The 25,038-nt window shown below is 51.3% G+C and overlaps 1 protein-coding gene across 3 annotated transcripts in view, besides 1 other annotated feature; it reads left to right on the plus strand.

Moving 5' to 3' along the window:
* The window catches only part of AJAP1 (adherens junctions associated protein 1), a 137,926-nt gene that overhangs the window by 102,368 nt on the left and 10,520 nt on the right, over positions 1 to 25,038 (plus strand). Inside the window, exons 3-6 of one of the 3 annotated variants that reach the window (XM_011541786.3) lie at positions 12,877 to 12,964; positions 15,304 to 15,549; positions 17,451 to 17,582; positions 20,425 to 20,642. In XM_011541786.3, the coding sequence (XP_011540088.1) occupies positions 12,877 to 12,964; positions 15,304 to 15,549; positions 17,451 to 17,523 (407 nt within the window). In that variant the 3' untranslated portion in view covers positions 17,524 to 17,582; positions 20,425 to 20,642. Of the gene's footprint in view, positions 1 to 12,876; positions 12,965 to 15,303; positions 15,550 to 17,450; positions 17,583 to 20,424; positions 20,820 to 25,038 lie in introns of those variants that run through there. The other 2 variants (NM_001042478.2, NM_018836.4) reach the window with 2 other exon arrangements.
* Positions 5,487 to 5,987: an enhancer, noted in NCBI's record as "H3K4me1 hESC enhancer chr1:4822523-4823023 (GRCh37/hg19 assembly coordinates)". NCBI's record gives its function as "activates a minimal SCP1, AML or CMV promoter by ChIP-STARR-seq in naive H9 embryonic stem cells {active_cell/tissue: H9 hESC(naive)}" and the evidence as "EXISTENCE:reporter gene assay evidence [ECO:0000049][PMID:30033119]".

Raw genomic sequence — 25,038 nt, forward strand, 5'->3', positions numbered from 1 at the left:
AGCCCTTTCCCCCATGCCTGTGGCAGAGCCGGGGGTTCCCTGGAATGAGATGAGAGCCTGACACAGAGGCTCACACATGAGTCGTTGTTTGGGGAGGTGATAAGGGAGCCCGAGCGAGGCTGGGAGGATTTCATGTGGCTCCTGGAGACATCTGATTCTCTGTGTCAGTGGAGGCCGCCTCACTTCTGGTCTTTCTCTCAGAAGATCCTTTCCTTTGCCTTCAGCACAGACCCCTCCCCTTTCCGCCTCCCCTGTCAGTGAGCTATGCCTTGAAATGCCACAAACAGCACCAGACCCAGGGGCATGCAGTGCTACCAGTGTATTGCTGGGGCTCACTCACATGCCCCCGGGTGGCCAGCTGTTCGCTGATCTGGGCTGGCTTCAGCTGGGGGCTAGGGCTGTCAGCTGTGGCCCATGGGTCTCTCAGTCTCCCGTGGGCTGGGCTGGGCATGTTCTCACTATGATGGCAAACGGACAAAATGGCCAGCCTCATGCACCACCTTGCTCCCAACACTGGCCCAGCCCACAGACAACTGCAAAGCATCCTGGCATGAGTGTGGCTGGAGGGGGTGAGGATTTGGGATCACCATGGAAACACATCACAGGTACCTGGGGAGTGGGTCTACTACAGACACTCATGGTACCTCCTGTTGTAGAAGCTCTTGTCACAGGTGCACTTGCATGAGTATTTGTGATTGGTTGGTTGGTGTCCTCATCACCCTGGTTTGTAGCCTGTTCTGGATGGGGACACTGCTTGCTTTTGTTCCCCTACTGCAGCCTTTGGGTCTAGCCCAGTGCCTGCACACAGTAGGTCCTGAATAAGCAGTTATTGAATGAGTGAAGAGTGCTTTTCTATAATATCTTGAGGCAAGGTGTGTGATATGCTTTTGCTGTGTCCCCACCCAAATCTCCTCTTGAATTGTAGTTCCTGTAATCCCTACCTGTTGTGGGAGGGACCCGTGGGAGGCAGAATTTAATCATGGAAGTGATCACCCTCATGCTGTTTCTGTGATAATGAGTGAGTTCTCATTCTCATGAGATCTGATGGTTTTATAAGGGGTTTTCTCCCTTTTGCTCTGCACTTGTCTTTCCTGCCGCCATGTGAAGAAGGACATGTTTGCCTCCCCTTCCTGAATGTAAGTTTCCTGAGGCCTCCCCAGTGATGTGTAACTGTGAGTCAGTTAGACATGTTTCCCTTATAAATTACCCAGTCTCAGTTATGTCTTTATCAGTGATGTGAGAACAGACTAATATAGTGTGTCACTCTTCAATCATGTCTCCTTGGGAGACTGTCAGATCCTATACGAGCATGAGAAAGAAGCATCAGGGGCTGGCATAGGAAGTGCATTAGTCCATTCTCACACTGCTGTAAAGAAATACCCGAGACTGGGTAATTTATAAAGAAAAGAGGTTTCATCAACTCACAGTTCTGCATGGCTGGGGTGGCCTCAGGAAACTTACAATCATGGCAGAAGTTGACGAGGAAGCAAGGCACCTTCTTCACAAGGTGGCAGGAAGGAGAAATGCCGAGTGAAGCGGGGAAAGAGCCCCTTATAAAACCATCAGGTCTCGTGAGAACTCACTACCATGAGAACAGCAAGGGGGAAACCACCCCAACCCCCATGATTCAATTACCCCCACTTGGTCTCTCCCTTGACAAGTGGGGATTATGGGGCTTACAATTCAAGATGAGATTTGGGTGGGGACACAAAACCTAACCATCTCAGGAGGTCCTATGGGCATAGCATGGAGACACGATCCCACCCAACCCTGTGCTGGAGAGTGTGGTGCATACGTCAGGCTGCTGCTCGATTGACAGCACAGCTCCCAGGACAGCCGGCGTGCAGAGGAGCTGAAGGCAGCTTCTCAGGGCTGAGTCCCAGACGCTGCTCTTCCCTCTACCCGAGATCCCAGGACAGAGCGGATCACTCTCTTGCCCCGAGCTGGATGCTGGGTTACAGGCTTTCTGTGCACTCTGCAAACTCCAGAGTACTTCTGAAGATGGCCAGCACCAGAGCTCAGGTCGGGATGCAGGTTGAACCAGCTCCAAACTTGGTCACGTTCATTATATTGGTCACTGACCCGTGACTGTTTCTGTCTGCAGCCACTGCAGGTAAGGAGCCTTCTTTTTGGCCTGCTGGCACACCCTCTGGTACTCAGCTGGTGTCTGAGAATCCCTTGCTCCTCCTTCTCGTGTGTTGACTCTGAAAGGTGTGCATAGACCTGCTCCTCTTAGATGGGGCCGCTGGATGGCACATCAGTCCTGCACCAGGGTCGGTGTTGAAACATCACTAAAACTAAGGCCATGATGAGAGCTTGAAACACAGGGAGGCAAATGTCTTATAGTCTGTTTAATTTGGTTAGGTGTCTGGGAGACAGGGAGCATATTTTGAAAGACGGTTCAAAATAAAAATATTGGAGGAATCTGGCCTCTGGGGCTGGAAGCTGGATGGACTGATGTTAGTCCCAATTTGCAGAATGTCTGCTCTGGACCACTGACTGCATTGGGTGTGCCCAGCCCCGTGTCTTCTGCTCCAGGGAGCTGGCTCAAGCCTCTGCATAGACTCTGCAGTGACCATAACCAGGGTGAGGCCACTGTTCTTTGAGGACCTTCTGTACGGGGGCCTCTGGACTGGGTGCCTTCCTTCCATGGCTTCTCCCACCTACACCAGGCACATGTCTGCTGAATGGAAACTGAAGTCACAGCACCATGCCTCCAAGAGCGAGGTGCAGGCAGGCTTTTTGGAGGGGGAGCCTTGCCATTTGTTTAGAGGTTTGATGTACTGACCATTTTATAAGCTAAACGTAGGCTCTGAAGACAGTGGGTGCGGTGGTGCTGGTGGCGCTGGGAGTTGTCAGAAGGGACTCTGCTGCTAACACGCAGGGCCCAGCCCCTCCCGCCAGGCTCCAGCTGTGGATGGAGCATCTCTGCAGCAGAAGGCCCCTCAGCTGGTTCAAAGCCTCCCTGGCCATAGGGTGTCTCTTCCCCAAACCCTGAACCTCTCCTTAGCATGCAGCGAGGCCGACTTCCTTCCCCCCAGCACTGGCCTTCAGAGCCATCATCTTTTGTGGAACTTCTCAAATGATAGCAGAAGTTCAGTGAAAGAAATGGGTCATTTCCCTAACGGCCACCAAGCTCAAAGTTGAGTATCAGTGGCTTCTGTTCTTACACAAGCCAAAAATTCAGGCCGTGTGTGAGTCTCTGTGAGTGAGCCTGTGTGTGTGTGCATGTGTGTGTGAATATGTAAGTGTGTGTGAGCATGTGTATGAGTGTGTGAGCATGTGTGTCCGTGTATGTGTGAGTGTGTGTGTGCATGTGCGGGCATGAGTGTGTATATGAGTGTGTGTGAACGTGTGTGAGTCTGTGTGTGTGTATGAGTGTGTGTGCATGTGTGTGTATGTGAGTGTGTTCATGCATGTGTGTTCATGCATGTGTTCATGCATGCTTTGGAAGCTGCCCTGGAACCACTGAATGCTCTCTCTGAGGGGGTTTCTGCTTCTTCCAGCACTGGACTTTCTGCTCCGGAGAAGGTGCTGCTGCCTGTCACGGAGCAGATCTGACTCCCCCGCCCCTGGGATGGCCCAGGGTCCATGGCTGGGGAGCCACATTTCCCGGCCACGATGCAGCATTCTGATCCCCTCCCATCTGTTGGGCCGCATTCTCTGAATGCAGGTCAGAAGGAGCAGATGGACAGGGCCTGGCTTCCTTCCGCCTGTAACCCATTTCATAGTCATTATATTCAATTCAGCAATGTGTCTAAGCGTTTCTGTTTGCCACAAGGGGCGAATATGCAGGCTTGGCCTTCGCCAAGGCGTGTGGCCACACCATGGAGGGGGCCCGTGAGCAGAGGCTGCCCATCTGTGCCCCCCTACAGTCATGCCATACATAAAGTGCCCACTCTGGGATTCTTGGGGTCCTGTAGGCCAGGAGTCACAAACTTTTCCTAAAGGACTAGATGTACATATTTGAGATTTACAGGTTGTGCAGTCTCCATGTGAAATGTGCATTGAGATCATGGCCCCGAAGGGTGCTGTTGGGTGATTCATGATCTTGCAAACGTGAAGTGAGGGCTCTGTGCCCCCTTGACCCTAACTGAACCCCCAGGGTGCCCGAACCTTTGGAAAGCCTTTTAACTCAGAGGGTAAATCTCACTGCCAGTGAATTCATTTCCCAAGCTCTCTACCCACCTCGTCCTCACCCCATTCCCGGTGCCCCTGCTGAGAATCCCAGATTTGAATGCAGCAGTGCTGAGATTTTGCCAAGAAGATGGCCCTGAGAAGGAAAGGTGGATTGATGCCTTGGTTTAGGCTTGCAGCTGGGTGGCATGGGGTCTTTCTAGCAAAGACTTGTCCCCTGGGCTCTCTCTGAGTCCCGTCTGTAACACTCTGTGTTCTCTAGTTCAGAGCAATCTCCAAATACAAAGAAACCCATGGGTGACATTGGTAGCCAGTCCTAGGGTCAGGGGACATGAGTACAACTTCAGGTCCCTTCTGGAGCCCACAGCCAGACAGATCTCCAAGTCTCCCTGGACCATGATGCCATGGCCATTGGCCATCGGCCATTTCTGTGCAGAGAACAATCAGAATCTGTATTAGTCAGGGTTCTCTAGAGGGACAGAACTAACAGGATTGATGTATATATAAGGGGAGTTTATTAAGGGGAATTGACTCGCACGTTCACAAGATGAGGTCCCACAATTCCCACAATAGGCCGTCTGCAAGCTGAGGAGCAAGGAAGCCAGTCTGAGTCCAAAAGCTGAAGAACTTGGAGTCCGATGTTTGAGGGCAGGAAGCATCCAACATGGGAGAAAGATGGAGGCCAGAAGACTAAACCCATCTAGTCTTCTCACATTCTTCTGCCTGCTTTTATTCTGGCTGTGCTAGCAGCTGATTAGATTGTGCCCACCCAGACTGAGGATGGGTCTGCCTTTCCTAGGCCATTGACTCAAATGTTAATCTCCTTTGGTGACACCCTCGCAGACCCATCAGAAACAACACTTTGCATCCTTCAGTCCAATCGACTTGACACTTAATATTAACCATCACAAGTCCACCCCTTGTCAACTTGAGCCCATACACATCTCCTGAAATTATACATAATCTTCAGATAAAGACAATAACAAGGTCTTAGTTATACCTAACATAATGCAACTATCCTTCATACAACCCTCCAAAACGCTGCGCAGGACAGCAGTGAGGGGCTGAAGCCTGGAGCAAGCCTGTTGAATTCTGTGTCTGCCATGTCTTAGCTGTGTGTGCAGTACAGGGTTAATTTTGCCCAAAGAAATGTCCTTGCCCCCAATTCCCTCAGGAATGTCCTCAGGAATGTCCTGCCTGAGAAGTGTCTTTTTTGCCTGGGGGCCTTGGGCCTGGCCAGATAATACAACGGTACAACTTATGGTGGGAACTAGGGCCGTGGGGTATTGTGGTATTAGCTTGACCTTCAGAGGGGCTGGAGACTGGGGTCAGCCATGCCAAGGGTCACCTGTGGCAGAGCCCAGCACAAACTCTGGGCGTCAAGGCCCAAGGGAGCTTCCCCGATATTTCATGCGTATTGTCACACATCATTGCTGGGATGAGACAGTGCTGTCTACATTTCTCCACTGCAAGATGACATCCGGAAGTGCCTGGTCTCCCCTGGACTCTGTCCCATGCCTGTCTTCCTGGTGCTCATCCTTGTGCTGTGATAAACTATAACCAAGAATATAATGGCTTTCTGAGTTCTGTGAGTCTCCCTGCTGAATTATTAAGCCTGAGGGTGATTGTGGGGACCCCAAATGGCACTGTGCAACCTTGGGAAAATCCCTTAACCTCCTTCTGGACTTGGGGAACATATTTGTGCCCACTTCATGGTGCTGTAGTGAGCTGTAAATGCGCTAATTCACTTGGCACGAGGCTTGGCACCCTCTACCAAGAAACTTGGGGTGACTCCATGTTATGGACCTCTACAGTGGCTCCAAGGTGTTAGCCCCATGACCTCTCTCCCTCCCTGGCTTTGTTATTGATAAGGAAAGCGTTGGAGGGAGAAGGGGTGTTAAAAGGAAACAACCAGGGATGGGCTCACACCTCACCCTCTGAGGCACACTGGGGGTGACCCTCCAACCCAAGGCTTCAGCTGCAGTGATATCTGTCCTGTGGGCTTGTCTTGTGCCTCAGAGGCCTCTGCCAGCATCTTTGGCCCTTACCCATTAGATGCAGAACCACTCCCACCCACAGCTGTGACCACCCAAAGTGTCTCCAGACATTCCAGATGTCCCTGGCTGAGGACCACTGCTCCACCTGCCTAGGCCCTTTGGGGCAATTCCCTGGGGACTGCCCTTCACTGTGTTGTTGTGACCAAGCCGAGTCCTGTGAGATGTCAGCAAAGCATTTCCTTAGGGGGAGTTCTGTTTCTGTAGCATGTGATCCTGTCCCAAGCCGGAAGGACTTCCGACGAGAGGAGACTTCATCTCCACGTAGTGTTGGCTTGAAGCACTTCCCTGAGCCAGGCCATCACCCACTGTGATGGTGAATTTTATGCACCAACTTGACTGAGCTGAGGAATGCCCAGAGAGCTGGTAAAGCATGGTTTCTGGGGGTGTCTGTGAAGGTGTTTCTGGAAGAGATTGGCACGTGAAATAATGGACTGAGTCTGGAAGATCCGCATTCAGCCATGTGGGTGGGCAGTATCCAATCTGTTGAGGGCCCAGGCAGAACCAAAAAGACAAAGAAAGGGCAAATTCTCTTCTCTCCCTCTCCCTCCCTCCTCTCCCTCTCTTTCTCTACGCCCTTTCTCCCTCTCCCTCTGTCTCTCTCTTCCTCCCTCTCTCCCTCATCTCTCTCCCTGCCTTTCTCCCTCTCCCCCTCCCCCTCTCTCCTCTTTGTCTCCCTCTTCTCCAACCTCCCCCTCCCTCCCTCTTTCTCCCCCACTTTCTCCCTCTCCGCCTCCCTCTCCTTCTCTCCCTCTCCCCACACCTTCCAAGGTTCCTGGTTCTTGGGCCTTTAGACTCTGGTACTTCCACCAGTGTCCCTGCCCACTGACCTGAACCCCCTGTGGTGTAGATGGAGCTGGGACATCCATCTTCTCCTGCCCTTGGCCTTGGACTGAGTGACACCACCAACTTTCCTGGTTCTCCAGCTTGTAGACAGAAGACCATGGGATTTTTCGGCCTTCATAATCACATGAGCCAATCCCATGATAAATCTCTTCTTATAGATCTCTCTATATTTCATTGGTTTTGTTTCTCTGGAGAACCCTGACGAATACATTCACCCCTTGGAAGACTCTGCGGGGTCACTCAGAAAACAGCACACTCCTTTGTGTCCCTGACATAAAAGCTGGTGGCCTTGTTCTGCTGTGAGCATCCCAGTTTTGGAAGATGCATTTTTTCTTAGCAGCCTGTTCCCAGGAGGTGAGCAACTGACTCAGACGAAGCCTAATCCCTGAGGTTCCTCCAACTCCAGCAAGCCAAGCTGCCTCTGATCTGTCCACCACTGGGCACTGTGAGCTTCACCCTAGTCAGGCCAACGTGTTCCCAGAGACTCTTTTTCAAGGACTGCTGTGAAATTTACATTTTGCAGGTCTCTGTGGAAAATGAATGGCTTTTTTGGGATGGAATTGGCACTTTGAGTCCCAATGTCACCTGTCACCTATCAAACTTACACTTGTTGCATGACAGACATTTTTGTGTCCAGTGACCATGGCTCTTTGTTTGCATAATTCAGACGCTCCCGATTTCTGCATTGTGAAATCAGCTGTGATACGCACAGCAATGTCATCTGTTTGCCTTGGCCAATTCCAGGACCATCACTCCCGCCATCATCCAAGTGTACCAGCCAAACGTGCCTCACGTCCTAGAAAGAAAGCACGTGATGGGTTTGTTTTTGCCATGGACAATGGCCCGTATTTGATTCAGCTTCATTTAATAAGACCTTGTTCAGACCCAGAGATGGATTACAAACTTCCACATCAATCTTCAGGGCCTGATCTTATTACAAACCACCACAAATATAACCATAAAAGCCCTATTGATTGATGCAGAGCTTGGTAATCCATCTGTCCCCATCCATTATTTTGGGGATAATTTTTCATCATCTGGATGGCAGCTGATTCCTCACGCATTAGTATACAGTGGCGATTAACAGAAGCAGAAAAAGCCCCCAAATTAGCAGAATAACACCTGTCAGGAAGGGGAAGCAAGAATTCCCACACAGCCTGCTTCTGAGCTCTGGGACCAGGTCTGAATTGCAAAGAGTTTGAAGATGTGATTCAGTGTTGACCTTGGAAGTGGAGAGGGAAAAGTTTGCTTGTTTGTTCCTTCCTTGGGGGCATAGAGAGTGTGCTCCCTTTAGGTGACATCATTGTCAATCTAGTCATAGCCCCTGGACAGCTGACATGGAAACTTTTCCAGGATTGCTCAGGGGCAGCAGGGTTTATGGGACAGGTGTTCCTGCCCGAGGTAGCTAATAGCCACCAGAGACTTGACCAGAGGGAATGTTATTTAAGGCGAGAGTATTGAGAGAGACATGAGTGAAGAAGGAGAGACATGAGTGAAGAAGGAGGAGAAAAGTCAAAGCCTCCTGAGAATGGTGCCATTTGCATAGTGTGGGAAAAGTCCTTTCCACAGACCAATAAGATATGGTCTCTCTCTACACAATGATTCCATAATCTGAACATTCTTGTGTTTGGCAAGATGCTATTTCTTTTAAACATGGAGAAAATGGAGATAGACATGGCTGAAATAGTTCTAAGAGCCATCGAAGGAATCAAACTGGTACATTTCTTTCTGAGTTTTGATTTCCAAAAATCAAAAATCCTGTGTAATTGACTTCTCAAGGGAAACCTTCATGCAAAGTGACTTATTATCAAGTGGCTTCATATGGACAAACCCAGCAGGGTGAGGCCACTGCTGCTGGGTGTTAAGACCCAGCCATAAACTAGAGGCTGTGGGTCTCTCTGAAACCACCTTGACAGTGACCAGTGAAGAGCCCAGCACACAGCAAAGCTTTGATGGTGGAGGAGCAAGGTTCTAATCCTTCAAACTAAAAGATTGCAGTTTGATTCCAAGCATTAACCGATCATCCAAAACTAAGAATATGCTTTTATTTAATCTATAAGCAGAGCCACCTTGAGCTACTCACCTAAATCACGTATCTGTAAACTGTGGTCCATGGGCCAAACATGGCCACTGCCTGTTTTTGGAAATGAAGTTTTATTGGAAAACAGCCCCATTTGCTTCTTTGCCCATTGTCTGTGGCTGCTTTTTTTGCTACAATGGTAGAGTTGAGTAGTTGTGACTGAGGCCATACTGCCTGTAAAGCCTAAAATATTTACTATCTGGTCCTTTAAGAAAAGGTTTGTCTACCTGGGATCCACATGAAGATTTACACATGGAAGGAAACTACTCCTGGCTCTTGGGGAGACTAAATGATGGGGCGGATGCTGTAAACACCACACGACTTCTCCCATGTTATTTTGCTTTATTCTAAGTGAGCAGCCTACCAAAGAGAGGAAATAATGAAGAACCCTTATGAATTTTCCATATTTCAGCCTGCTTCCTAGAAATATTATTGGGGCCACATGTCAGAAGTCCCAGTCCTTGTCCAACCATCATGAGGGTCTGTAGTTTATCCTCATAGTTGTAGCATCCTAAGCAGGAGCCCAGGAGCCCATTGAAACCCACACTCCAGGTTTTGAAGCACACGGCTGTTTACTTTGCAAGAAAAGTCTGTGCAGGGTTTGGTAAACTGTTGATCTTGAACTTATTTAACGACAGAATGTGCAGGTGTGTGGGATTTGGATTTAGATTTTGGTTTTCTTGGGGACACTGGAGCAGAGAATTGCGTTTGTCCAGGCTCTGCTTGCTGACCAGGGAAAGTCATTTTTCTTCTTTAGCATCAGGCACCCAGTTTGTCAGACAGGTTAAAAAAAATGTGGGGTGGAGATGGGTTACATCGATCCCAGGTGTGAAGGCTTAGCTAGGTGCATCGAGGGATCCTGTAGAAAGCATAGCTGTTGTATTGCGTGTGTGTGACTGCCCAGACCCTCTTAGCTGGTGATTAGCCCATAATGCACCCTTCACGTTTTAATGTGGGAAGTCTATGAAGAAAATTTACACAAAAGGCAGGAGAAGGGCCTCCAGGGCAAGGCCAACATCAGAAGTAGATCATTACCCTTCTTTCTGTTAACTTGGTTTCTGATTTTTTACCCCTTAGTTGTAAATTTAATGATACATCATGCAGCTAAGATCACATTATCATCAGCATCACCTTCACCATCATCACCATCACCATTATCATATCACTATCATCAACATCAGTATCACCATCATTATGATCATCATGTCACTATCACCGTCATCACCATCACTATCATTATTACCATCACCATCATTATCACCATCACCATTATTACCATCGTCACCATCACCACCACCATCATCATCGTTACCACCACCAACATCATCGTTACCATCACTATCATCATCACCATACCATTATCATCATTGCCATTATTATCACCATCTTCACCATTACCATCATTATCACCATCATCACCATCACCACCACCATCACCATTATCATCATCACCATCTTTATCATTACCATCATTATCACCATCATCACCATCACCACCATCACCATTATCATCATCACCATCTTTATCATTACCATCATCACCACATCACCATCACCACCATCATCATCACTATTATCATCACCATCATCATCACCATCACCATCATTATCATTACCATCATCACCACCATCACCATCACCATCAGCAGCAGCAGCAGCAACCTCCTTCTCATCACAAGAAGCACAGACACCGGATGAGCACATACGCTTTGTGACAGCATGGCTTTCTCTTGACTGGGCCAGAGGGAGTGTGTGGGTAGAGAGCAAGAGGAGACTGAACAGGCAACCCACCCTCCACAGCTGTCCATCCTTTTCAATCCTTCCTCTGCACATGAGGTCTGAGTTGGGTCTCAGGAAACTTGGCACATAGATAGGGATTACCAGAGCTGGTAGACACTCCATTGTTGGTGGGATTAGGGGTGGTCCCTGTTGCATAACTTAGCTTTCAACTCATTAGCAAACCAACTTGGCAGTCCCAGAGAAGGGACTTGCCCAGAGGTTTACAGCAGGTGCCACAGATGGGGCACAGGTTTATGGGAGGTCATTGGCCAGAACTGCAATGAATGCAGCACCTTTATTCAGGGGGCATCGGAGCAGCTGTTGCCTGTGGGTGAGCAGTACTAGTGCTGCAGGCGCACAGTAGGTGCACAACAAACAGTTCCTGAATCAGTGGATAGAAGAAGGCTTGGGAGAGACTCGCCATGCTCATGTGTTTCCTCCACTGTTTGCCGGATGCTGTTATTCTGTGGATCCTGGAGGAGAATCCCTCGTGAAAAACAAAAATTACCCCCAGAGAGGGGGAAACAGGAAGACAAAGCTTGTTTTCTGGCTGTGCCAATGTTTAATCATTTATGAACAATTTCCCCCATGAGGATCATATCCAGCAGAGAGGTAACATCTGTTTAAGAGACTGTCCTTGGGAGGCCGCCAGAAAAATCTTGACACTGAAACCCGCCATGCTGAAACACGCACATGCAGTGTTCTCACCCCAGCAGCCCAAGAGGTTGGTCAGGTGTGAGGGGCGGGTCTCTGCAAAGCAGACACCAAGATGGAGCCCCAGGCGGAGACAGGACAGTTGCTTGGATCTCAGGTGGAAGGACATGGGGAGATGAGTAGGAGGAGGTGCTGCCACCTGCGGGCTTGGCGGACTCCCTCACTGCCTTGATCTTCCAGCTTCTCAGGTGCTAAAGTGGACCTTCCGAGTAGCCCTGGCTGGTTGGTAATGTCCCCAGCATCCAGGTCCCAGGAAGGATGTGACAGATGTGTAGTCAGGAGAGAAGGTGGTCTGTGGTAGGGACCAGAGGCAGGAGCTGTTGCAGGCCTGCCCTCCTGTTTCCCCAGTCCTGTGTCTGTGGTTAGCGGCAAATGTTGCAGAAGGTTTTGGGACAGAGGTGGGGGACGGGAAAGAATCCCTGCTTTCTGCCATCGTGCATGTGGGTGTCAGCAAACAGCTCATGACCAGAGCTCTACCTGCCCCACTTCTGAAGTGGCTGGTCCTTCTGTCCCTGTCCTGCCGATTCCAGTGCCCCCCACCTCCCCATTCAGGTATTGGGGCCAGGGCAACAAGGCTAGACCATGGATTCTCCTTTGGGACTGTGGGAAGCATCCGCTGCTGGCCTGAAACTTTCATTCCTGGAACCTTGTGAAGCAGTGAACTTCTTAGCGAGGACTCTGGAAAGAGGAAGATTTCACCCCGTGATCTGGGTCTGTGAGGGTGTCATCCCATGTGCTCTTCTTTTTACCTCCCCAATATGTACTGGCCCATCCTGGCTCCCCCTGGGTCAGGCCAAACCCTGCTCCCACTCACAGGCCAGCACCCTGGAGCTAACCGTTCCAGAATAGAAGTGCGAGACTGGCCCAGGGTGTGAGGGGAGAAAGGGGCCATGGGGAATATCTCACCCAGAGCTGACCTGCCGCCAGGTAGAGGAGGCAGGTGAAGGGCTTGGCAGGTGCAAGAAAGAACACAGCCGCCCATGATCCAGGTCACGGCTTGGAGACTGACAGGGTGGTGGTGGAAGGAGAGAGCCCAGAGCTGGAGCTCCCCCTTCCTGGACCCCGGGTGAGAGCAGCCTCATGCCCGGGGCCTGCAGTCGAGGAGGAGAGAACTGAGCACCTGTCATGCTGCCCCGAGTTCCCCGCTGCGGATGGGACCTGGCATCCCCAGCTGGGTTGGGGGGATGCACCTCCACCTTTCCCGGCCCCCCTCGCCTCCTGAACCTGGTTTCACGGGTGCCCTCTTCCCTCTTTCCTTCTTTCCAGGTCTGGCTGTCCATCAGATCATCACCATCACCGTCTCCCTCATCATGGTCATAGCTGCTCTCATCACAACTCTTGTCTTAAAAAATTGGTAAGGCTCCTTGGGCCCTTCTGGCCCAGAAATGGGGGACTACCGGGGTCCCTGGGTGGTGAATACAGAAAGGCCCCTACTTTTCAAAGCCAGCCTGTTCTGCTGGCTTCTGCCCTGGGCAGTTCAGCTGCCACAGGCTGCTCACCGTCCAGCGCTGCCCTTTGGCCCGGCCCCTCTCCTGGTTTCCCTGCAGAAGGCCAGCGAGCCCAGCCTTTGTGACAGAGCTTCTCAGGGTGCGTGTGGTCCTGGGTTCCAGATTCTTTCTCTGGATCCAAGTGTCCCTTGGGATGTTGTCCACCCAGAGCACAGTCCCTATATCTTGTCTCCTCTGCCCCTTCCCTGGAAAGGTAGGGATGGGGCCCTTCTGCCAGCACCCAGCAGGGTCCCACGTCCCTCACTCAGGCTTGGTGGCCGGTTGCTGAACCAGCCCTGTTTGTATTCTTCGTTCCTCTCAAAGCCACTCTGTGTGCTGAACTAGGTTACCGCTTTGCTCTAGGCAGCCTGCCTTTGCCTATTTCCTCCTAGAAATTGGCCTACTTTGAGGCCAGCCTTGCTGGGTGTACACACCTGATAAGCCCCTGAGAAATCAGGGGACTGCTGGGAGGCCCTGCTGCTCGAAAGCGCCTTGGGGACCTCACCTGCCTGCAGCCACTCCTCCAGCAACTGTGTCTCCTTTCGGCATCCAGGCTTAAAACTCCCTCATAGAATAACAGACCCAAATGGTCCCCTTGCTGCCTGCACACAGCCATATGAATCAGACAAGGCTGATGGTGGAAACCGCATCAGAGCCTCAGAATCACAGGGGAACACAAGAAAGAGAGAGAAAAAGCCAGGCTCTGGGATCAGAGGAGGTGGGACTTCTTGACAGGCTGCAGGAGGGTGGGGGTAGCACAGCCCCACAACAGACCTCCCACTCGGCTAGCGAGGCCTCAAAGCCACCTCCTGATAGGTAGCAAACTGGGACCCCGGGCGTTTTCTGGAGACAGGGGATGAGAGAACAACACGGAGCTCACAGTGGGGCTTCTTAGGCAGGGGCTGGCCAGAGAAGGGACTTTGGACCCCTGGACTGTGTGGGCGTATGGAAGGACAAATCCCACTGGCCATCTCGGTGAAGGGCTTCATCTCCCCAGAGACAGGGGACTTTGTAGCCTGTTCTGTGACAAGTTGATGACAAGCCTTCATCTTGCTTTTCTCACACTCGAGCTTATAGCAGACCTTCAAAGAGCCCTTTGGGAGAACAGCCCGGGAGGATGGATGAGCAAGTCCTATGAACCTGACCTCCCTCTGAGGAAGACTTTGTGGGTGGGGCTGCCCCCTGCGTTTGGCATTCACCTTCTGACCTTGGTGTATGGGGTAGGGGGCTTCTTCTCCAGGAATCAGGATTCCTTTCATTGGGAAAACCAACGCAGGAAATAGCCAAGACTTAGAAGGAGACGGGCGCATCCCCCCTGCCCCTTGCCTTCGTGCAGCCCCTCCCTGTACACAGGCCCTGAGCGTGAAGGGGAAGGGGCGGGCAGGGGAAATGGCCCCCAATGCGGGGAGACGTCCTCAGCTCCCCATGCAGCAGGGGAGGGGCCTCCCAGCCAGCCCCCTTGTCCTTCCTGTGCTCTCATCATAGAAGTGGCATCCGGGGGCCTCGATTCTTGCTTCGTCGAGTCCCTGGACAGACGAGGGTAGGAGTCCCATGGTCACTATAAGTGGCCTCTGGAAACCCCTGTGGTTCAGAGGAACTAGACCATAACAGGCAGGCACGCAGGACACTTCCCTCTGCAGACTTGATCAGGGATGAAGGACAAGCCAGCTCGTCATTTCCAGCTTGTACACGTGCCCCTGGGTGAGGCTGAGGACAGGGGCTTTCTCACTCATCAGCTTTCCCCAAAGACAGGTCCATTGTCCATTCTGAGATGAAGGAACGGACCACCCCAACCTGTACCCAAAGGCTCCCACACACTCTAGGCCCCTCTGGCAGGAAGGACCCACCACAGCTTTTATCCCGTCGAGGCGTTCGTGGGGAAACTGAGTCAGCACCATGGTCTGACTGATGCTCTTTAGTTAAGCAGGTCCCTAGCTCTGCGATCACACAGCTCACTACTTACCCCTCATCCTCCCTGCTGTAATAGCCACATTTAAAATTCAAATTTCATTTTTTTTTTTTAAAAAAAAAGAGTTGATTGCTTGATTGTGGTTGATCTTTCTGAAGAGGCTGGGAATTACCGTTTAATATGAAATGATGCGTAGCTCACGCCTGCAAGCGAAAGACCCACAGTGGAAGTCTGGAGTTGTGTTTGTGGGTTTCCGGCCTCTGCCCGTCCCCCTACCCCAAACTCTTTCTCTTCCAGCTGTGCCCAAAGCGGGAACACTCGTCGGAACAGCCACCAGCGGAAGACCAACCAGCAGGAGGAGAGCTGCCAGAACCTCACGGACTTCCCCTCGGCCCGGGTGCCCAGCAGCCTGGACATATTCACGGCCTATAACGAGACCCTGCAGTGTTCTCACGAGTGCGTCAGGGCATCTGTGCCCGTGTACACCGATGAGACGCTGCACTCGACGACGGGGGAGTACAAATCCACATTTAATGGAAACCGGTAAGCTCGGGCTCTGCTAGACCCTGCAGCTGTGAAGCTCTTGGTGCTCCTGACCCCCGGGGGCCGGTGTGGCTGAGCTGAGAGCTGTTGGTCGGTTTAGGTCTTCCCTGAGGTCGCTTTGAGGGGCCCAGCCAAGGCGGACAGCTAATTTGGCAAAACGAAAGAGGCAGGGTTGATAGCAACAGGCGTTTAGCTGCTCCCAGAGAATACAGTGGCTGGAATTTCCTTCCAGACCCCTGGACGTGGGCAGTGGCGGGAAATGCATAGTCTCCCAGCCCTCGCTCTGAACCGTCATCCTTCGTGCCCCAGAGCCCAAAGGCCAGCCCCGTGGTTATTGGCCTCCTAAATATCAACAGATCACAACAGCCCCCCGACCGGAGTCAGCGTCTCTGAGCCCTGTCAATAAAATGTCAGCGGCAAATTTAGCAAAAATATCAGATACCCACCAGACTCCCAGACCGGAAGTACGTTACTAAATGCTCCTCCTTTTTTATTACTCATGTGTAATCCCTCAAAGAAAATGTACCCCACAGCCATCCCTGGGAATATTTAAAAAAACCCTTGAGTCAGCTTTCAAAGGTTTGTCCAGAATTAAATTAAAGTATCAATAAGCTTTTTTTTTAAGTGAGCATACATTTATGCATCATGTTGTAAATTAAAAAAACAGTCTCCAACAACTTGAAGAAAGGAGGAGGCTGGGATCCATTGTGAGCAATAGAATTAGCAGCCAGGGTAACACTGCCCCAGGCCCCCAGAAAGGGCTCCCCTGGAACCCAGGGCAAGGTGACTGGACTCGAGTTGTTTTAGAAAGGGCTGGCTGCATGCTCCCTTTCGTTCTGTTTGCTGATTTGTTCAGGGGCCCTGGAGAGGGAGGACTGCCGGGGCTGCCACATCCATAGTTAATGTGTCTTTGTCCTGTTGGCTAGAATGAGCAGATGTTCCTGAAATACCTTCTGGCCACGCCTCTTCTTGCATGTCCACGTTGCATTCTGCCATCTGTGATATTCTCTGTCTTAGACGTTCCCTTCCCTTCTGGAGGAGGACAGTGGCGCTCAGAACCTCAGAACTGTTGTTCTAAACCTCAGTGGTTTTACACTCAGACATTTGGGGAGCTCATGGGTGCCATTTCAGCCTTCCAGAAGGCTAAGTTCACAAATAACCGGCTAACAGATTTCCAAACTGTTTCACTGAATATGTGGATGTTGGCTTGGACGTGAATCTGGGCCAGCCAGTGCTTGGGCCGTGTGGGTAGAGGGCAGAGGGCCGTGGGCTGGCCTCTGTTGCTTCACTTTTCCCACCTTCTGTGCTTGTGTTATGCAGGGAGGTGGGGTGGGGGGCTGTCCAAGAGCAGAGTTCGCACAGCTGGTGCTCTCGTGCCCTGGCATGGAGGCATTGGATGGAACTAGTTCTTGCCTTTTGGCCCAAGGTCATGCTCTGTTGGGTTTCATTGGCCTTGGGAAATGGTAGCTTAGTCTCAAAGGTGACAAAATATGGGCGAGACATTTTGGGAGCCAGGTTCTATCCTTTCTGTCATGTGCAATAAAGTGGGTCAAATCTGCCATCAGAGGCAGAGACCCCAGGCTCTGGGCTAATCCTGCAAATTCAAAAACGAAAATGTGGAGACGGCACAGCCTTCCGGCCTGTGCAGCAAAGTGCTCGTGTGCCCAGATCCCTCAGTCTGTGTCTTCCAAAGCCTCCCAGGGTAGAAAGCATTCGTGTGTGAGGACTTCTCCCAGCCACAGGGAATGTGGGGGGTGGTCCCTTCCTGGCAAGGCCAGGAGTCCACATTAGTGCTTCCTTTCTCAAGAAGCCAGTCCCCACCACAGGCCTGCCCCGGCTTGCCTATCATGTGTCATGGTCAAGTACCAGCACGCCAAAGCCCATTTTTCTGTTCACCGCAGACCCTCCTCTTCTGATCGGCATCTTATTCCTGTGGCCTTCGTGTCTGAGAAATGGTTTGAAATCTCCTGCTGACTGGCCGAAGTCTTTTTTACCTCCTGGGGGCAGGGCAGACGCCGTGTGTCTGTTTCACGGTAGGTACCTCTCTTTGGACATTCCTGTTTTCGTTCCCTTTCCTCCCCTCCCCACTGCCCTCCCCTGCACTCTTTGGGATCACTGGGAGCTCTTTTAGACATGGCGGGTGGATTTCCAATGGCATCACTTCTCTGAACATGAGCCGGCGGGGGGGGCTGGGCTTTTGACCTTGATGTTGGATTTGTTAGAAGTGCCCTCCCCGTCCCAGGGGAGGATAGTAACAGACATTCATGCACCCTGATTCCACGTCCTCACTATTCTTATCAGTGCCACTCCTTCCCTCAGGAAGGCCACCACATGCGTGGCCTACGTGGCAGGGAAAGTCATTCCCTAAAACAAGCGACAATTACAGCTCTCATTTCCCACAACAGGAGGAGATTAGGACAGCGGCTAGGGAGGCAGGAATCGCACCTCCATCACATGTCTTTACATCGGGGGAGGGCGCAAGGCAGAATTAAAATACAATTTTGAAATATAAAAATAAGAGATAAGAAAGAAAATGATAAAGAAAGAAAGGGAAGAGTTGAGACATCTACTAATTTGAAGCCAGGAACCGGCACCAAAACAGGATGAATTTTCCACGCTCTGCTGGATGGGAACATTTGGTTTGCTTTTAGTGATATTAACTTTAATGCTAACGTTAAATTGCCTCCTTCTGTGCTGAGTCTTCAGAGCACTCGGGCTGCTGAGGGGAGAGAGCATTGCGCCCTCATGGCTGCACATCCCATGCATTCTATAAGCACAGCCCATGGGTGTGACCTGAGGTTTTCGTGTTGTTTTCATGGTTCTTTTCGACGCTGGGCTTTCTACGCATCCTCATCTTGCTTCCTTCCAAAGGTGACCTAAGATCCCTTCCATGAGTAGGGAGCCGTATTTCTAGGATAGAATACCAATATTTGAAAATATTTTTTTCTTACTTTTTGCCCACCATCTGATATGAGGGACAGAATGGACAAAGTCCTCAGGGGCCCGCGGACAGGGAAGGTCTGGAGGACTCAGCTGGCTGCACCTTGCTGGGGGCGGGGAACCAGCTGCAGTCAGAGAGGGGAGTGAATCGGTCAGTTCCTCATCCTGGCACTAATGAACTGCATGTTTGCTCCAAATCAAATCTCCAGCCCTCACTCCCTACCCCGAAGCCAACATGTTCTGCCAACTGGCAAAGAAACGTAATTAGATTAGAATATGGGAACCGAGCTGCCCTGCAAGGGCCTTTGCTGCAGCAGGTAAGAGGCGGGTTGCCCCCACCATTCAGTGGGGGGATGTGCAGCCTAGAGCATCCATCAGAAGCCAGTGCCTTTGTCTGCCTCACCGCAGCTCCCCTCATGAAGGGAGCCCCTACTGGAGTGCCAACCAAGCTAGCCGCAGGGAGCTGGCTTGCTAGCAGTGTAGTCCGCGACCCGCCTGGTAAAGCCTCTGTAGGGACTGGGTCCTGATGGTTGCCAGCATCTCTGTTATGATTTTTAAAATTTGTTAATGCACAATTCATTGACCTGGGAGATGCAAGGCCTTAGAGTCGAAGACCCTCACTCCCTTCCGCCAAGAGCCACAGACCCACAGAACTGGAGAGGTCAACTCGGGGGGACAGCCCCGTAATACGGATGTTTGCACGGCAGCTCGTGGAACACTTTTTACTTGCCCAGTCCTCCCAGCAATCTCATTTACAAGTGGGGAAACCGAGGCAGTGGGAGGTTAAATGACTTGGCCGAGGTCAGCTCCCTAGGGGAGAGGGGACAGCTTTCTAATGTTTGCACGGCAGCTCATGGAACACTTTTTACCTGCCCAGTCCTCCCAGCAATTCCTTTTACAAGTGGGGAAACTGAGGCAGTGGGAGGTTAAATGACTTGGCCGAGGTCAGCCAGGTTGTTAGTGGTGGGGCTGGATCACCCGATGGCTGCCTGGCTCCGGGACATCCCCTGCCTACTCCACAGGCCTGAGCCCAGGGATCCTTCTTTTCCATTAGAACAGGAGCCCGCAGCACTGACTTTAAAAAAAATAAAAAGATAAAATAGGGCAAAAAAAAGTGTTTTATTTACTCATCTGCCCCAGAAAACCTTCGTGTCTCATCAGCCTGGTCCTCCCCTTCCAGCAGCATGGGGCACTGAAGACCCCCCAGAAATACTGTTGGTGGGCTAGCCCTGTGCTGCAGCCCCAGGCAAAGGCAAGAGACATGGGCGCCCCCAGATGGGCCCCAGGTGGACCCCACTTCCCAACTGTGCCTGAGGAGCTGTTTCAGGACCACCGGCATTTACACAAGGAAACATCTCTGTGTCTAAAGAGCTGACCCCCTCCCTGTGGCTCTCAGGTAGGTCGTCCGCAGAGTTCAGAAGAGCCCGTGAGGCTTACTGAAGGCAGCTGCGCTCAGCCTGGGAATCTGCCGACACGAAGCCACGGCCCACTCCTGGTGGCCTCCTGAAGTAGCTGTGGACCAGGAGGGCTATGCACACAGCCTCGTTAGTCCTTGATAAATGCTTATAAGATTCTGTTGCCGATTGCGGGACAGACCGTTTACCACTCACTAGGATGAAAGCGTTGGGATTCTAAGTATCCCCTGAATCTTGCAATTAATGCCTGGACATGAGCGTCGGGTGCAGAATAGCCAGAAACATCTCTCAGATTTGCTGGGGTACTTATTGTCCCTAAATAAATAGCAATTAATACTAAAACATTTAATTAAGGTTTAAGAGCCAGTGGAGCTCTTTCTCTCTCACATAGCTGGGAAGCCTCTCCAAATGCATTTTTAATGACGATGCAGCCGTTTGTTACCACACCATTGTCTTTCTTCTCAGTCTAATCCGTGTGCACATTTGGGACCCAAAGTCAGCCAAGTTCGTTTTCTTGCAGGCGGTTGTCCGGAATGCCAGTGGCTCCTGGGCAGATGTGCACCCCAGATTCAGCCTTTGTGATAGATTCCAACACGTTCTGGCCTCAGACCACCTTTGTGGTGGGGCCAGACTGCTCTGGGCAAAGTGAAGCTGGCCTTTATGCTCCAAGGAAGGGGGCCTCGAGAGCAGGCCTGCATTGGCTCTCGGACTAATTCGCGATCATCTTTCATACAGCAGGTACACTTCAGCAAACCTCGTTAATGTTGATCTCTTTCCCTTTGCCAAGGCCGCTTCGTTCTGAACGGAGCCTGCAAAGTCATAAAAGCTCTTGAATCCGAAGCAAGTGAGAAATAAATCATGCACTATTATTATTTTCAAAAACACATTGATCACTAATAAAAAATAAGAAGTGTACCTGTGCCTTCCCACTTTGTTCTTCCAAAATATACATTAATAGAATATCAAACTTTTGTTATTCAAAGGAGCCTGTTTTTCAAAGCAACATCCATACCTTTCTGGAAGCTGTGCTTGCTGAGCTGAGAACAGTACCACGAAAACTTTGAGAGAAAGTAGCCACTTCAGATTGTCAAGAAATTCTGCTCTGCCCCGGGGACACCTGGCGGTAGCCTGTTTGCTCTTTATTTATGTATTTATTTTATGTATGTATGTATGTATTTATTTATTTTTTGCAAAAGCAGACAGTGGTCATTACACCCAGTGCGCCACTGCGTAGCATGCAGCCCAGTGGGGCCAGGCCAGCCGAGAATCTCCTTCCAGGCAGCAGAGGGCAGAATTTATCCCAGATCCCGATCTGGAAGATGGCTTTGCAAGATACATACAGCTTCCCTTTTTGCCCAGGGAATCTCAGGTGGACATTCACCTTCAGCCACGTTATTTTCCAGCCATGGGGTCCAGGCCCCACCTTATCTGTCTTTCCCAGCTGGCCTGGGATCCTCAGTCCTTCTCTGGGCTTAGTGCCAAGATGAGAGGCTCACGTGCTAAGTGTGGCGCAGAAAAACACAAGCAGCTGAAGTTTGAGCAACAGAGTTTTGGCAGAGCATGGACAACATGAGAGCCTCCTCCTGGGCCAGGGGCTGTGACCACACCTTGGTCTTGCAGGAAACCTCTCCACCCTCTACAAAGCCAGCATGGCTCTGGAAATGGTCATTCAAGGTGCAGGATTGGCGCCATCTCTCTCTCTCTCTCTCTCTCTCTCTCTCTCTCTCTCTCTCTTCTCTCTGTCTCTCCCCCTCTCCCTCTCTCTCTCTTTTCCATCCTGAGACACAGAGTAGAGAGAGATGCCTGTAGTCTTGGAAGAGACTCCCTTCCCTGCATAGCCGGGGATGTCTGGCATAGGCTGCCACCCACTCGTTGATCCTCCACGTCGTGTCTGTGGCTCCCTGCATCAGCATCTACCTGCAGGCAGTCCCCAGAGGTTGTTTCATGCCATTAGGGACGGGTCTTAGCGACTGAGGACAAAACTGCTTCACACCTCTGCCGCGTCTCTGAGCCTCATCCGGTGTTTTGATTCCCTACTCCGGGCCAGGCACAGAACTGGAACCTGCATGAACCAGTGGTGAATGGGCAGGAGACCCCCGTTCTCAGGAGGCTGTGCTGCCAGCAGGGGATGCCTTGCACATCTGCCCAGATAAAGCTCGATGCAGATGGTCCCATACCGAAGATGTCACCGAGCAAGTGCTGCAGGAGACAGAAGTAAAATAGGGGATGTGTGTAGGAAGGAATGGGGCATCCAAGAGGCCCTCCCCAGGGAGGTGTTCTTTCCAGCCAAAACCTGAAGGATTTGAGGCTTGAGATTTGCAACTTGAAATCAGGGAAGCTGGAACGTAGAGAGGAAGAAGAAGAGGAAGAGTGAGGTGGAAAGGTGGCCAGGACCCAGTGCAGAAGGATCTGATGAGCCAGCATGGGAAGTGCAGGAGGCTTTTTTTCTTTTTCTTTTTCTTTTTTTTTTTTTGAGACAGAGTCTCGCTCTGTCGCCCAGGCTGGAGTGCAGTGGCTCGATCTCAGCTCGCTGTAAGCTCCGCCTCCACCTTCACACGGGAGACTTTCACATGGGAAAGTGGCAGGATAAAGTCTACATGGGAACACCTCCGGAGCACAGCCAGACAGACGCAATGGTTGGAAGCTGCTCCTCCGGCCTTTATTCTCCTGTTTAAGGTCAGGATTAAGGATTGGAAAGCAGCCGGGGCCACAGTTCAGGCAGGAAACTATTCTTATTAAGGTGGCAGCCATATGACTTACGGTCCAACCCTGAACACATTCCAGAGCAAAAGGTTGGCCTTGTGAGTAATCAATGATCAGGGAACACAGGGACAGCAGCTTACAACCGGTGACAGTCCCAGGACACCGGGACCCAGTGTAGGGTCTCGAAGCCTAGCTTCTGGTGGCCCGAGGATTTTTATCTCCCTTTTAAGAAAAATTGTAATTGTAGTAAATATATGTAACATAAAATTTACCGTTTTAGGCCAGGCACGGTGGCTCACACCTGTAATCCCAGCACTTTGGGAGGCTGAGGCCGGCGGATCACCTGAAGTCAGGAGTTTGAGACCAGTCTGACCAACATGGCGAAACCCCATCTCTACTAAAAATACAAAAATTAGACGGGTGTGTGGTGTGCGCCTATAATCCCAGCCACCAGGGAGGCTGAGGCAGGAGAATCGCTTGAACCCAGGAGGCGGAGGTTGCAGTGAGCTGAGATTGTGCCACTGCACTCCAGCCTGGGTGACAGTCTCAAAAAAAAAAAAAAAAAAAAAAAAAATTACCATGTAACCATTTATGCGTGTCTAGTTCAATGGCATGAGTGCCTTTACCGTCCTGTGCAGGCATCTTCACAAGCCAGCTCTTCACCTCCTTCCGTCACCCCGTATTAAAACTCCGCACCCACTCAACACTCACTCCCCGTCTCCCCCCATCCCCTGGCCCCCAATTCTACTCTTCGTCTCTGTGGATTTGGTAGCTCTGGTACTTCCTGTAAGTAGAATCATACAGCATTCGTCTCTACATTTTTTAACTTTCAAAAAAATTACCAAGATGGACATATAAGAGGGATATTTCTCTCTGTGTTGTAATAATTACTTCATTTTTTAAGCCCCTCTTCCCCAAATCCGGGGAATGTGGAAGAGGTGGGCAGGGGTGGGGCACAGCTGGAGTAAGGCTACCAAGAGTGATCTGGCGCTAACCCAAAGGCACGTCCCCTTTCTTTTTTTTTTCTTTTTTCTTTTCTTTCTTTCTTTCTTTTTTTTTTTTTTGTGGGACACAGCCTCACTCTGTTGCCCAGGCTGGAGTGTAGTGGTGCCATCTCGGCTCACTGCAACCTCTGCCTCCCGGGTTCAAGTAATTCTCATGCCTCAACCTCCCAGGTAGCTGGGATTACAGGTGTGCGCCCCCATGCCTAATTTTTGTATTTTCACTAGAGATGGGGTTTCACCATGTTGGCCAGGATGTCTCCTTTCTTTACATGCAGTGAACCCTGTGCCCACAGCAGCTGGTCTTCCCACAGTAGCTGAGCGGACACTCCACTGTAGCCTCATGGAGTTGTCCACACGGATGTCATTTGGAGGCAGCAAGCAGGAAGGTGACGCCCAGGGCCCAGCCTCTTGTCCAGGTGCAGAGGGGTCCAGGGAAAGATCCAGCCCCTCACCTCTACCTTCAAATGAGTAGACTCTGGCACACTGAGTCTCCTGGAGATGATCAGAGACGCAGTGCTGATGATCAGGGACGCAGTGCTGTGCAGGAGGAGCTGTTCTGGGGCCTGCCAGCCTCGCTGTCCACTCCTGGGATGTGTCCCTCAGAAGGCAGGCATGTCCCACCTGGGGCCCCTCCTCCCCAGTCCCAACCAGAATCACTGCGGTGGGCTCAGTTGATTCAGGAGAGAGAAAGCCGCACCCTTGTCTTTGGGAAGAACTGGGGAATGGACCCAGGACTGGCAGTCACTGACCTCACCTGGGGAGCTCTGAAAACCCACGTTCACAAACACTACCCCGAGACCCTGATTCCAGGTCTCCAGAGGTGGGCCTGGGAATCTGTATTTCTGCTAAGCTCCAACGATGACGATGACGGAGCCGGTCTGGCCGCATGCTATGCATGCAGCTGCTGGAAAAATTCTAGAGCTCCCACTGGGTGTTTTTCCGACTTCATTTTTGGATCAGCGGGTACCCCCGCCCCATCCTACCACTTTCTGATATGTGTCATCTGCACAGATGAGGATGCGGTAGCATTTTCTTTCTACTGTTGAGGGTCCTGATTGCCTGTAGTTGAAAGGAGCTCTGAGTGACAGCAGAGGGACCCAGACAGCACCCCATCCCTGTGACGGAGATGCAGCTTTGGGCAGAAGGTCCCCAGATGGGACCGTGACGTGTTCCAGCTCACCTGGCCATGCCCGGGGTGACCGTCTGAGGGATGCTGACCTACTGGGGGCTCTCACTCAGCCAGGGAGACTGCATTTTCCATTTTCCGAGGCTCGGGCTGGCTGGGTGGGAGCCGCCCCGTCTCAGCCTGCCCGCTGAAGGTGGCAATCGCAGTCAGCACACCTGACCTGTGCCCAGGTGGGACTCGCCTTCTCTCTCTTTGGCAAGATCACCTCTGGGGAGATGTGGGAGGTGGATTTTCTGATGCA

This window comes from Homo sapiens, chromosome 1 (assembly GCF_000001405.40).
Source record: "Homo sapiens chromosome 1, GRCh38.p14 Primary Assembly".
Classification (NCBI taxonomy): Eukaryota; Metazoa; Chordata; class Mammalia; order Primates; family Hominidae; genus Homo; species Homo sapiens.